We start from the raw sequence: 14435 nt of genomic DNA on the forward strand, positions 1-14435 counted from the left end.
TTTTTTGGTTTATTTTTGTTTTGTGTTATTGAAATGCAATTCACATATTATAAATTTACCCTTTTAAAGTGTACAATTCAATGGATTTTAGCATATTCAAGAGGTTGCGTAACCATCACTGCTGTCGCATTCCAGAACATTTCCATTACCTCATAAAAAATCCCCATACCCATTAGCAGTTCTTTTTTTTTTTTTTTTTTTTGAGACAGAGTCTTGCTCTGTCGCCCAGGCTGGAGTGCAATGGCGCTATCTCGGCTCACTGCAAGCTCTGTCTCCCGGGTTCACGCCACTCTCCTGCCTCAGCCTCCCAAGTAGCTGGAACTACACGGACCCGTCACCACGCCCGGCTAATTTTTTGTATTTTTAGTAGAGGTGGGGTTTCACCGTGTTAGCCAGGATGGTCTCGATCTCCTGACCTCATGATCCGCCCACCTTGGCCTCCCAAAGTGCTGATTACAGGTGTGAGCCACCGTGCCCGGCCAGCAGTTCTTTTTTTTTTTTTTTTTTTTTGAGACAGAGTCTCACTCTGTCGCCCAGGCTGGAGGGCAGTGGCACCCTGTCGGCTCACTGCAACCTCAGTCTCCTGGGTTCAAGCAATTCTCCTGCCTCAGCCTCCTGAGTAGCTGGGATTATAGGCGCCCACCATCACGCCCAGCTAATTTTTATATTTTTAGTAGAGATATGGTTTCACCATGTTGGCCAGGCTGGTCTCGAACTCCTGACCTCGATGATCCACCTGCCTTGGCCTCCCAAAGTGCTAGGATTACAGGCGTGAGCCACCGTGCCCGGCTGTCTGGATAATTTTTGTATTTTTAGTTGCGATAGGGTTTCACCCATGTTGGCCAGGCGTGGGCCACTGCGCCTGGCCCCCATTAGCAGTTCTAAAGCTCTCTGCAACCTTGAACTCCAATCTTGAGCTCCAGGCTTGAACCCAGGAAGAAGGCAGGGGTGCCTTGAGCACCACAATGACCATCTCTATTTCTGGAACTGGTCACTTGGCTGTGGGTCCTACCCTTATCCCTGGGACTCAGCTGCACAGACTTGTCCCAATGGGTCAGGAAGGACAGCAGCTCTCCTGACTCCACCCCCGTCACATGACATGCCAGGGTTCCCCACCCATAAGGGGCAGGAGATTGTGGGGCTGCTGGAGGAAGTTGTGGGGGCATTTGAGGCTGAGTGCTGGCTAAGCAGCAATGGCTTATGCCGGTAATCCCAGCATTTGGGAGGCCAAGGTGGCAGGATCGCTTGAGCTCAGGAGTTTGAGACCAGCCTGGGCAACACGGCAAAACCCGGTCTCTATGAAAAATACAAAAAATTAGCCAGGTGTGATGGTGCGCACCTGTAGTGCCAGCTACTCCGGAGGCTGAGGTAGAGGACCGCTGGAGCACAGAGGTTGAGGCTGCAGTGAGCTGTGATCGCACCACTGCACTCCAGCCTGGATGACAGAGTGAGACCCTGTCTCAAAAAAAAAAAAAAAAAAAAAAAACCAAACCGAAAACACATTAAAATTTTTCTTTTTGGAAAACCATCCAATCAGCCAGAGAGACACAGAAAAAAAGGAGCTTCTCCAGTGCTCCCCACACACCCCCGCCACCACCCCTGGCCGGGCTCTGTTCTGCTGGCTACTTGGGGGAGTCTCAGGCCCTGAATGATCAGGGACATGTGGCCTGGCCTAGAGGCAGCTGAGGCAGGAGGGAGGCCATCTGGTGAGGCGAGAGGTAGCGGTCAGGACATTGCTGAGTCCGCTGAGGCATCCCCTGGCAGTCACAAGGGCTTCTGGGATCAATTAGCAGAACCACCCTAACAGGGCTCATGGCCCCTGACGCAGGCACGTGTCCTCAGAGCCTCTTGACAGCCTTGGCAGCCAGGAATTGAAAGGAGGTGGGGGAGGGGGATGTCGGCCTTTCCCCTGTGCCTGGCCTCGCCTCCAACAGCTCAGCACAGAGCCTCCCCGCCCTCCCCATTAGGCGGAGGCTGCCGGCCTTCCAGAGCCTGCACTTCTTATTGCCTTGCTTCTCCTGGTGTTGTGGGTGCAGCAACAGTCTGCCTCAATTTTCACATATGTAAAATGGGTCATATACTAATTAAAGATCACTTCCTGGAAATAAAAAAAAAAATTATCCCTTTTTCACTAAGAACAGGTGTTGAATCAACAGCAAAGGAAAAGACTCCTTTATTTTTTGAACAAACAGCTCCTAAGCCCCTACTGTGAGTCAGGCACAGACAAAGAGAGACAAATGAGGTGTTTGCCATGCTTGGGAAACACGGGAATTCTGGGGGGAGATGGATGTGTGTGAACTGATTCAGTTTGAAGAGGTCAAAGAAATGAGAGGATTCAGTAAACTGCTTGGTGTGGGAGGGGGCTTTAAGGAAGACTTCACAGTGGAGGTAGCATTTTTTTTTTTTTTTGAGATGGAGTTTTACTCTGTGGCTGATATCTGTGGTATGTGCCACCACACCCGGCTAATTTTTGTATTTTTAGTAGAGATGGGGTTTTGCCATGTTGGCTAGGCTGGTCTCCGACTCCTGACGTGAGGTGATCTGCCTGCCTTGGCCTCCCAAAGTGGTGGGATTGTAGGCGTGAGCCACTGTGCCCAGCTGGAGGTAGCATTTGAGCAGGAATTCCTCAGGCAAAGAATAGGGTGCAGGTCCTCAGGGCAGGGAGAATGGTAGGAGCCCAGACTCAGAGGTGGGGAGCTCAGCATCTTGGGGAACAGCAGCCATAGATGGAAGCATGAATGGAGCTGGGGTGACTTTGGGCCAGTAGGAGCCAATCAGAAATGAGCTGGTGGACTCCATGAAGACAGGACTGTCCATTTCTTATTCCAGCCACAGCACTGGGCTTGACACATAGTTGGAGCGGGACAAATGTTGTTAAAAGAATGAAGGATGGCCAGGTGTGGTGGCTCACACCTGTAATCCCAGCAATTTGGGAGGCTGAGGCAGGCGGATCACTTGAGGTCAGGAGTTTGAGACCATCCTGGCCAACGTGGTGAAACCCTGTCTCTACTAAAAATACAAAAAATTAGCCAGGCGTGGTGGCACTCATCTGTGATCCCAGCTACTTGGGAAGCTGAGGCAGGAGAATTGCTTGAACCTGGGAGACAGAGGTTGCAGTGAGCCAAGATTGCACCACAGCACTCCAGCCTGGGTGATAGGAGGGAAACCCTGTCTCAAAAAAAAAAAAAAAAAAAAAAAAAAAAAAAAGCCAAGCATAGTGGCTCACACCTGTAATCCCAGCATTTTGGGAGGCCGAGGTAGGTGGATTTCTTGAAGTCAGGAGTTTGAGACCAGCCTGGCCAATATGGTGAAACCCCATCTCCACTAAAAATACAAAAAAAATTAGCTGGGCCTGGTGGCACGTGCCTGTAGTCCCAGCTACTCGGGAGGCTGGGGCAGAAGAATTGCTTGAACCCAGGAGGTGGAGATTGCAGTGTGCCCAGATCACACCACTGCACTCCAGCCTGGGCCTCACAGAGAGACTCCATCTCAAAAAAAAAAAAAGAAAGAAAGAAAGAAGAAAAGAAAAAAAAAAGTGAAGGAGTGGTAGGAGTGGTAAGAGCCCTGAATGTGAGACTAAGGGGTTGAGCCCCGATCCTATGGACAGTGGAAACCACTGTGAGTTTTGGTATAGGGTGTGAGGTAGGGGTCATGTAGAGGTTTGGCTCTCCCAGCACCAATTGTTGAAAAGACTGTTCCCCATTGAATGATGGTGGCCCCCTTGTTGGAATGAATTGACCATTACCATAAGGTATGGCAGGCTTTTGAGAGAGGAATCATGTGGTCAGATATGTATTATAGAAAGATCAGGTGAGACTTGTTTGGACTGGGAATGGCTGGGAGGAGGAGGGGTTGGAGGGAGGCTCTTATGGGTGGACTTGATGGCAGGGGGACAGAAGGGGCATCTGGGGAGAAGAGACATCCCTGGATCAGCCCATGGCGGGCAGCAAGGTACAGGGCTATGTCCTGAGCCAAGGCCAGGATCTGGCCCACTTGGGCCTGTGGAACTCACTGGGGGATGGGGATGGGGCAGTCAAGGGAGAGACAGAGAAAATGCCCCCACTCCTCGGCCCCTCAAGGTCCTCAAAGTGGTAAAATAAAACCCACTCCAGATATAGCCATTTGCAAAGTCAGTTTTCAGGTAATGAAAGGATTGTAATGGAAAAACAATGCCAATTACAGCAGCATTATCCGGGATTATAAAGCTTCTAAGAGGCGGCTCACACCTCCAGGCATGCTGTGCCTGGGAATTTCCAGGGTAGACTTGGGATCAGAGCATACAGGCTGCCAGGATCCAGGCCTCACAGTGGGCGTGGGCTGCTGGGGAGGCCCAACCCCTGGGGCTCTATGGATCTGCCTCCATTTCCCCAAAGAGATAGAATACCGGGAGGCAGGAGGACCCCCCCAACTTCACACACACACACACACACACACACACACACACACACTTCTGAGAAATTGGATAAGAGGAATGTGAGGCTGCCAGCCCATCTCTGAAGGAAACCTGTTCTTCTGTGGGCTTCCCTACTCCTGGGGACACCACATCCCTCCATGGCTCTTTCTGCCTCCCCCATCACCTCCCCTACCTGGCCTTGGGGACAGCAGGACTGCACACATGCCCTTGGGGACAGCAGGACTGCACACACGCCGAGGCAGCCCAGCGTTGCTCCTCCTGGGCTGTGTGACCTGGAGCCAGTCAGCTGTTCTGAGTGGTAGCTTCTGCTTCGATAAAATGGGGAGATCACCCCTGCCCACCATCACAGACCTATTTTCAGGATTAAATGAAATATTCTAGATAAAGAGTCCGAGGAATAGAAACCAGTCCAACCTCGGGGCCTGGCGATTTGGTGGTGACTGTTAGAACAGTGAACTTCTATGCACTGGGTCCCAGGAATCCCTCCTCATTTCCCATAGGGAAAGTTTTGCAGATGTGTGTGTGTACAAGGATGTTCCCTGCAGCCCCTTATGTGAGGTTGAAAAATCATAAACAACTGAAAAGGCCTTCGATAGGGGGCCTGATTAAATTAGGATCCATCTGTCCTGCAGGATCCTTTGCTGTAATTGGAGTCTGGCAGCTCCTGTGTGCTGTCTCCGGCAGATCCCACCACGTGGGGCTGCATCAACAAAGCAAGTGCAAACAACACCTACAAAATGAATGCATCGCGGCTGTTCGGAAGCCCGCACGGCGCTCCACATTTTACATGTTCACAGGTAGACACCTAGATGCCATAAAAGCAGCGACGAAGAAAACACTCCCAAATGACCCGATTGGTTACTACTGGGGAGGGGACGGGTATGGAGGCTGGGAGGTGGCAGGTGCATCAGAGGAGTTTCACTTTGCTGTAGTTTTAATGTTTCACTGTAACATATGCTTCTGTCACCCACATATGTCACCTCCAGACACACACAAAACACACGCCAACACCAAGTTCAGAGAGTCTGGCCTGACCCGCGCTCAGTCAAGGCTGAGGCCATCATTCTGACCACAGGTCAGGGAAGGGAGACTGGGGAAGCCCCCTCAGGTGGACAAATGACATCCCCTGGCATTGCAAGGAATGGAGTGACGCCACTCAGCCTGGCTGGACTGAGCCAACGGCCCACCTCTCCTGCATAAGCTGTCTGCCAAGAAAACTATTGAACTACATAAAAATCCATCCCTGAAATCCCAGAGGCATCTTTAGAATGGAGCATGGACTTTACATTAGAATGTGCTTTAACAAAAAAAAAAAGAGAGAGAGAGAGAAAGAAAAAGGAAAAGCAGGTTTTGCCTGTAACTTGAGTTCAGGTTTGTGACACTGGGTGGCCAAAGAGCACTGCCTACCCTGGCCGAGGCCACCAGGCTCAGTTCCTGCAATATTGGCTGTGAAGGGAACCCCAGCCACACCGGGTTCAGCGCAGAACCAGCACATGTTCCCATGGAAACTCTGCTGCCAGAATCCCCTGGAAATGTTTGCTGAGGAGGGGCCACCGTTTACCGCACCCACTGCAAGTTCTGGACTGGTGGTAGAGGCTGGGCACAGACTGACCTCCAGAAGAAGTCCATGGGCCCTCTGCTAGGGTGGCACCAGACTTCCCTGGTCCCACAGGACAGCCAGTGGCCTCCTAGCTTAGTTCTGGGCCCCCGCCTGCAAGCACACGTGGCAAGGAGGGCTTCAGCAGGCTCGCAGAACCGAGTGGCAAGGCCCCTGCTCCCAGAAGCTGGTTTCCCAGGATGATTTTCTCAAGCAAGTGCTGACAGAGCAGGAGTCAAGCGGGGGTGGGGTTGGAGGCTGAAACCCATTGAAGGGGTCAACTTCCTAGAGGCAGGCAGGGATGCCTGGGGGTGCCAGACGTGGCTGAGATGTTTCTGCAGAGGGGAGGTTGGGAAGACCTAGGAGGGCAGGGCAGGCTGGGCCGGGAGAGATGGTGGGAAATCCCACCAGGTCAGGGGCCAGTGGGCAGAGGGAAGCATCAGCTGAGACCCAGAGACAGGGCTGCCCTGCTGCGGTAGGGCCCAGGGGCAGGGGCCTGCAGGGGCTGCCTGGGGCTTCCCTTCCCCACCCTAACTCCAGTCCCCACTCAGGACTGCTCACATCCGTCCGTCCTGGAAGGTCCACAGCTCCCCTTCACCTAGGCCTCACCTACTCCACTCAAGCCACCCCATCCCCCTTAGCTTTTCCCCTCCAGGCCCATTCATTCAGCTCCTGCTAAGCCAGCACCCTCCTTCCCTCACCTCTCTGCTTACCTTGCTCCCACCCCCAGCTCTGGGCAGCCCTGGCCTGTCCATCTGATCGTGCTACCCCGTAGGCACTCCTTAAAGGCATGGCTGCAGAGAGCCTGGGCCCAGCTCCCAGGGAGGCCTGCCTCTCACTTAGACTCCTCTGTACTGCCCCAGAAGCCTATTCCTTCTGAAGGACGAGTCTTGAAGGAAATGCACACCCACTGAGCTTCTGCCTGAGCCAGGGAGTCCCCTTCTGTCCTTTCTGAGACACTGAGTAGTGTTTGTTTGTTTGTTTATTTGGACAGAGCGTGCTCTGTAGCCCAGGCTGGTGTGCAGTGGTGCCACTTCGGCTCACTGCAACCTCTGTCTCCCAGGTTCAAGAGATTCTCCTGCCTTAGCCTCTCGAGTAGCTGGGACTACAGGTGCGTGCCACCACACCAGGCTAATTTTTGTATTTTTAGTAGAGACGGGGTTTCACCACGTTGGCCAGGCTGGTCTCAAACTCCTGGCCTCAAGTGATCCACCCGCCTCGGCCTCCCAACATGCTGGGATTACAGGCATAAGCCACTACGCCTGGCCTGAGCTGTCTTGACTGTCACTGCAAACTGAGGCTCAGGTGGCCAGTGACTTGCCCAAGTCCACAAGGCTGTGGGAGGTGGAGCAGGGATTCAAGGGAGGCCCTGAGGCCACCCAGCCTGGGTGGGTCTCAAAAGCAATTTTCTTCTCTTCCCTCCTCCACCCATTCATAGTGGAAAGCAAGCCTGCACCCCAGGAGCTCCCATTCATACCCTCTCTGTCCCCTCTCTGTTCTTCCTCCTCCCGCCTGCCCCATGCACCTCCCACCCTGAAGTTCCCTGCCACCCCTCGCCCTGTGCCAGCTTGTCTCTGCAGGCTCTCAGTCCTGGGGGCTGGAGAACAGGTGCTCAGTCCTCTTTGCTGCCCACAGAAGTCTCAGAACATTCTTGCCCCACCCTCCCTTGGGCCAAAGCCCTTTAGGGTCCCGTCCTTTCATGCTGTGCTCTCCTCCTCCTCCTCCTCCTCCCTGCCTCTCTCCTTGCTCACTGAAGACCTCAGCACCCACTGCCTCCCAGCCTTGCCCTGAACCAAGCACAGACGACCACCACGCTGGCAATGTCTCTGTCCACCAGAGGGGTGATGGGTCAGCCCCCAAGAACCTCCTACGCCACAGGGAGGAGTTGGAATTTTATTCCAAGTGAGGCAAAAACCATGCAAGGTATAGAGCAGGGGAGGCCAAGGCCAGGTGTGGGTTTAATCGGGGTCTGTCGGTGGCAGGGCAGCTGCAGGGAGGCCGTGTTGGTGATGCCTGGGCCAGGGCACAGTGGTAAAGTTTAACCCAGGCTCCCCTGTCTACCCCTGAAAAAGACTGGAAAATGCTGAGTCCCAGCCAAGGGTCCAGGGTCTAGGAGCTGAGGTCAGAGAGGCCCAGGAGGTGGGGGAGGCAGGCCCAGTGAGGTGGCCCTCTCCTGGTCTTGCTGGCTTCGGTTTTCCCAGGGGAGCTCACTGCACCCTGAGCGGCATTGTCCCCCATTGCCCTGACCCTTGCCCCCACCTCCTTGGCTGGTGGAGCCAGGAGCCTGGGAGGCCCCTGTGCACACCTGGCAGCTTCACCTCCCCAAACAGGCCCGGAGTTCATTCAAATCCAGCCTCTGGGAGCAGGGGCCTTGCCACTCGGTTATGTGAGCCTGCTAAAGCCCTCCTTGCCATGTGTGCTTGCAGGCGGGGGCCCAGAACCAAGTTGGGAGGCCACTGGCTGTCCTGTGGGACCAGAGAAGTCTGGTGCCACCCTAGCAGGGCCAAGGGACTTCTTCTGGACGTCAGTCTGTGCCCAGCCTCTACCACCAGCTTTCCCTTCCCTGCAGGGAGGGGCATGACCTGCAGAACCAAAGGTGCTTCTGTGAGCCAGTAGCCCAGTGCTGCTTGGGGGCAGGGGCGGGGCCTGTGCCTTGGGTTCCCCCCCCTCCCTGGGCACATTTGGGGTTGGGGCAGCCCACACGGTGGGGTGGGAAGATTGACCTGCCCATTTTACAAATGAGCAAAGGTGGGAGAACTCAGGGAGACATGGGGGAGCAGAGGGAGGAAGCAGAGCCCAACAGCCCGGGGCACCCGGACCCCAGCCACTGCCTGCCTGTGGATGGGTTTCTGGCCACGGTGCAGGGCTACTGCGAGGAGGAAATGAGGGTGATGTGGGCACCTGAAACAGCAGAAATGGCTCAGGGCCAGGCACTGGGGAGCCACTGTCCCCATGGGGCTTGAGCTTCTGCCTCAGAGGGACCTTCCGGCTGCCATTGAGGGTCCCAGCACCAAACCCCACAGCTGGACCACTTGGGACCTCAATCCACAGGGGGCCAGGGCTGCGGCCTATGGCAGATAAAGATAGAGGAGGAGGGCTGGATGAAGCCACAGGTGGTGGGCACAGGATAGGCCAGACAGAAGGGACTTTGGGGGACTCCACCTTGGGTAGAAGGAGGGACAGCTGAGGTCCTGTGGTGGAGAAGGCCTGGAGCAGAGGGTGACCAAGGAGATGACAGAGTGCACGTACAGGGCCAGGCCAATGGGAGTGGGAACCCTTGGGAGAGGGAGCTTCAGGCCATTCATTCAGTTCCTGTTTAGCCAGCACCCTCCTCCCCTCATCTGTCCCTCTGCCCTCACCCCAACATGCCAGAATCTCCTTCCTCTCCAGCTTGTACCCAAGCCCTCTCTGCTCCATGCCCCCAGCCTGCTGACCACCTCTCAGCCATGTCCTGGGCCTCCAGATCTGTCCCTGATCCTAGTCTTGCCTCTGAGGGGTCCATCATCCTTGTCTGTCCCCCAGACCTCCCACGCCAGCCCCTGCTCCCACCCTGCCTGGCTGCCTCGTGCCTCTGGCCCAGCTGGGTAGGTAGGGATTTGCATAGCTGCTCCCCAGCTCCTCCATACCTCGGCTCCCCACACAGCACTGCTAGGCGCCCCTGCAGGGTCCTCCCTCAGCTCAGAGGCTGCCCTACTGGCTGAGGTGCAGGCTGGTGCCAAGAGAGCATGCTGCTCTGTCAGCATGAGGCAGTGAGCAGGGCTCTGGGCAAGGGTGGCATCCAGGAAAGCCCTTGAAGACTGAGGGGCGCTTTGCTGGTTGGGCCAAGGGAGGAAGGGCCTGCCTGGCAGAAGGAACAGCCTGGGCAAAGGCCCCAAGATGGGAAAGCCTTGGTGGTTGGGGCATAGAATGGGGGGGCAGTGGGGCCGGCCAAGACAGGAAGGGCCTTGAATGTGAGGGTGAAATGATGGGGTGTCCCTGGGGGCCTTACTCCCAACTCAGATCAAGTCCTTTGGTGGCAGGGGCTGCCCCGGTCCTCTGACCCAGGGCAAGCTCTATGAGCGGTGGAGCCCATCCTAGAGATTTTCATAGACCAGGTTAAGTTCGCCATCATCTTCGAATCTATGCGGTCTCTCCTGGATAGAAAAGAAGAAAGGGAGGGAAGGAGAGAAAGAGAGAGAATGACCATTAAGAATGAACTTGCACTAATTTAGTTTTAGCCAGAGGGCAACAGATCACTTCCTGTGTAGCTTTGATGGGGGGCCTGCCCTCTGTCTCCAAGCCCACCTCCCCAGCCTCTTCCCCCACCATGCTGCCCCCACCCCTGCCCATTGCCCTCCAGCCACATGGGCCTGCCCTTCCAGCCTCAGAGCTTCCCCCACAGCTCTGCCCTCTGCCTTCTGCCCTATGTGTGGGATGCGCCTCCTCCCACAGACACACCTGTTCCATGACTGCCCCCTACTCACTCTGCCTGCGGGCTCATCATAGGGTCCCAGGGACCCCCTCCCTCCCTCCCCACCCTGGCTGGTCCCTCCCAGAAGAACACCCCTCACAACAGGGCTACAAATGCCTCTGTGTGTCCATGGGGTCAGCGACCTATTCCTGCAGACTATGGCTCCCAGAGGGTAGGGACATGCCTAGTTCTCCTGTCCAGCACCCCAGGGCCTGGCACAGGGTGGGCACTGCCGGAGATGTCCCTGCTTTCACTCAGGGTCTAGTTGAGGGCTGAGTATAGAAAGGGCTTTGAGAACAGGCGATTTAACAAATAGTGCCAGCCCGAGCCAGAGAAGGCCAAGTGCCAGGCGCCCGCACTCCCTGACAGATGTTCCAAGAGGCCTGTGGGCTCCTGTTCTGGCTGAACAACGCCTCACGCTTGACGGTGCTGGAAGCTCTGGTGCAGATGTTATTCAGCTTGGAACACATTTGAATTCAGAGGCAGTTGGTATTGCAGGAAAACACTGCTCATCCACTTTACAGATGAGCAAACAGGTTTAAGAGAGAAAGTATGGGCCGGGCGCGGTGCCTCACACCTTTAATCCCAGCACTTTGGGAGGCTGAGGTGGGTGAATCATGAGGTCAGGAGTTCGAGACCAGCCTGGCCAACATGGTGAAAACCTGTCTGTACTAAAAACACAAAAAATTAGCTGGGCACAGGGGCGGGCGCCTGTAATCCCAGCTACTCGGGAGGCTGAGGCAGGAGAATTGCTTGAACCTGAGAAGTGGAGGTTGCAGTGAGCTGAGATCGCGCCACTGCACTCTGGCCTGGGTGATGGAGCAAGACTCTGTCTCAAAACAAAAACAAAAACAAACAAACACACACACACACACACACACACACACACAAAACAAAAACAAAAAAAAAGAGAGAAAGTATGATTGGGTAATATGCCTGAGGCCCTATCATGACAATCACAGAACCCTGACCAGGCCAGCCCAGCTTCTACCAGCTCACACTCTAGCTCCAGACTTTAGCCAACACCAACCTGGGGGCAGCTGGAAGCCTAACACCCCTGTCTGACTGACCATGTGGACACTGTGCCCAGTGATAGTTACAGTGGCTCATAGTGCATGGGCACAGCTGGGTCCCAGGCAGCTCTCTCAGTACATTCTACCCTCACTGAACATCTATGAGGTGGGTACTGTTAGGTTGCTCAATCTGCACACAAGGAGATTCAGACACAGAGAAGTCAGACACCTCGGCCAGGGCTGCACAGTGGCTAAGGGACAGAGCAGGAACTCAAACGCACCAGTCCTCTTAACCAGCAGGCCAGCTGCCACCAGGAGATGGCTGGGATTCCACAGCAGGTGGCTCACTTCCATGTCCCATTTGCCCCCCCACTTCACCAGTGATGGGAGGGTCAGATGGAGCAAGAAGCCAGGCTTGGTGCCCCAGCGCCTGTGTACCTGGGAGAGGGGGCTCTGCTTGGCGGTGGGTGAGCTGCCATCCTCATTCTCGATGCAGGCATAGACCTCGGTCTCGCGGCGCTGCAGAGCCTACAGGAAACGGGGTGCCAGGATCAGGGGCAAGTGTGTAGAGGGGCAGTCCCTGGCCCCAGCAGCCAGCCCCCTGCCTGTTACACACCCCACCGTGGGAGCCCAGGGGAGGGTGAAGCCCAGCCACACCTTTGCACCTGCCACCCCCTTTCCCAGAGTCACCTTTCCCCTTCCCTGCCTGTAAAGGGCTGACCCCTCTCTGTTCTCGGCCACCTCCCTAACCTCCCTTAAGGACCTCCAGTAGAGCCTTGTATTCCACCTGGAGGGTTCTATCCAGGCTTCCACCTGGCTGGCAAGAGAAAGGGCCAGGCCTCCTCCTGCTGTCCCTGCCTGTCCCTAGGCTCTTAAGGGCTTGGCAGCCAGCAGCCCCCTGCATGATACCTGTGGCCACTGCTCCAATAGGATGCCCCCATGACCTCTGCCTTCACCCCCCTGTTCAAAGCCCCGGCCCCTGTGAGGGTCCTCCCACCCACCCATACCCTCTAGCTCTCCCCAACCCCCACCCCAGCCTGTATTCAAGGATAACCCAGGCACCCACTGGGGTCACACTCCCTGGTCATCGAGCCTGTGCCCTGCTGGGGGATTCCAGAGTCCAATCCTGGTTCTCAGCACACCCCTCATCCCCCTTGCCTGTCACTTTCCTTTCATTCCCCTCAGCCACCCCTCCTGGGCCACCTGGGCTGCTGTCATCACCCATATGCGCCTCCCTGGAGGTCTCAAGCTCCTGCCACCCACTCTCTGACCACGGTCCCCCCATAGCCCAAGCCTCCTCCCAGGAAGCCCGAGTCAGTATTGAGCTCAGCTGGGCTTGGAGGCCCTGTCCCTGGCCTCACGGCTCCTGCACTGGGTCATGTCGGAGTCCTGCTCCCACCAGCATCTCACCAGATGGGAACCCCTTGAGGGCAGGGACCATGCCTAGTCTATCTCTGGGTTTCTGATTCTACAGCTGTGCTTGGCACAAAGGGAGCAGCACCAAATGAGCTATGGTAAGGGGGCTTCCCCGTCACTCGGGTGTGTCCTAGGCCCACTCACTCTTGGCCCAGCTAAGAAAGGCCTAGCCAGAGACCTCAGGATGGTAGAAAGAACCGGGGCTTTAAAGTCAGACAAGAGTAGGTTCGAATCTCGGCTCTGACTGCGCCAGCCAAAGGCAACCCCTTAACCGCTCCATGCCTCAGTTTCCACGTCTGTAAAATGGGAATAATCACATCTATTTTGCAGGTTCAATGCATGATTAAATGAGATACTGTGCACAAAGGGCCACACACACAGTCAGGGAAGTAGTAGGTGCTTAATAAACTGCTGTTGAATGGTCAAGAGAAGCATGAGGCCTGCCCACCTCCCCTCTCTGGGATCACAGACCAGACCCTCCCTCAGAACCTGTTGGACTCCGGAGCAGAGCCCACCAACAGCCTAAGCAAGAGCAGAAGCCTTTCCTTCCTGAGTGTACGTGTCATATGGATGCCGGCTGGTTGCCAAGGAGGCGGTTTCCCTGGCAACAGGCAAGCAGGGGTTGCTGAGGCAGGCTGGAGAGACAGGTGGTGCTCAGAGGCAGGAGGAGGGCGGGAGGCGGGAGGGAAGGAGGGAGGGAGGCAGGCGCCAAGAGGCAGCTGGGCATGAAAATCCAAGTAATAAACCATTTGGCACTTGGGAGACCCTCACTTCAAGGGCATCAGACATGGGGATGGTGGGGCGGCCCTGAGGACGAGTTCAAGGGGTCTCTGAGCCAGAAACAGGCTGGGTCTGGGGAGAGGGGCTTCCAACCTGCTTCCTTGTAGGAAAGGGACCAGGGCTGCCCCAGGAAGAAGCCTCATTTGGAATGGAGGGAAACTTCCAAGTCCTGCCCTGCCTTGTGCGGCCTTCGTGCCTGTCCGGAGCACCAGCCACCCCAGCTGGTCTGGCACCCAGGATGGGAATGTTCCTCTGTGGTCCTGTGCCCCCAACCCTCCACCCACCCAGGCCCAGACCCCTTCTAAGTCTCACAGATCTGACAGTCTCTCTGAGCTGGATGATTCTGGTCACAGAGAAAAGGGAGGGGAGCAGTCTCCTTGCCCATGTCTCGGCAGGGGAGTAGATCTGGGGTTCCCTCTCCCTCCTGTCCAGCTCAGCCGGGCTGCCCAGAACACATGAGCCCAGAGAGGGCAGGTGATGCAGGGCCAGAGAAGACTAGCCTGCCCTGGGATGCTGCAGGCCCCCAACCCATACAGTGGGGGAGTCGGGGAATAGGCGAGTGGGCGGTGGTGCAGTGGGCAGGGCAGGAGCAGCTGCGGGGCTGAGAACAGGGGAGGCTGCGGAGGTGGCCACCAATTAGCAGCTGCTGAGTGAGGCCTTGACAAGTCCTGACCCGCTGGGTGCATTTATATGCAGGGTATGACCTGCATCACCAGGCTGTGAAATGCAGGGTGCAGCCTTGGCAACAGGACACCCTTTGAGCTC

The 14435-nt window shown here is 55.9% G+C and overlaps 1 protein-coding gene across 3 annotated transcripts in view; it reads right to left on the reverse strand.

The window, feature by feature from the left end:
- Positions 1–5330: 5330 nt before the first annotated feature.
- NFAM1 (NFAT activating protein with ITAM motif 1) overlaps positions 5331–14435 on the reverse strand; it is a 57580-nt gene continuing 48475 nt past the window's right edge. For all 3 annotated transcript variants that reach the window (NM_001371362.1, NM_001318323.3, NM_145912.8), the window contains 2 exons: positions 11913–12002; positions 5331–10144 (listed from right to left, as the gene is read on the reverse strand). In NM_001371362.1, the coding sequence (NP_001358291.1) occupies positions 10085–10144; positions 11913–12002 (150 nt within the window). In that variant the 3' untranslated portion in view covers positions 5331–10084. The remainder of the gene's footprint in view (positions 10145–11912; positions 12003–14435) is intronic.

The sequence above is a fragment of the Homo sapiens genome, chromosome 22 (assembly GCF_000001405.40).
Source record: "Homo sapiens chromosome 22, GRCh38.p14 Primary Assembly".
Lineage (NCBI taxonomy): Eukaryota > Metazoa > Chordata > Mammalia > Primates > Hominidae > Homo > Homo sapiens.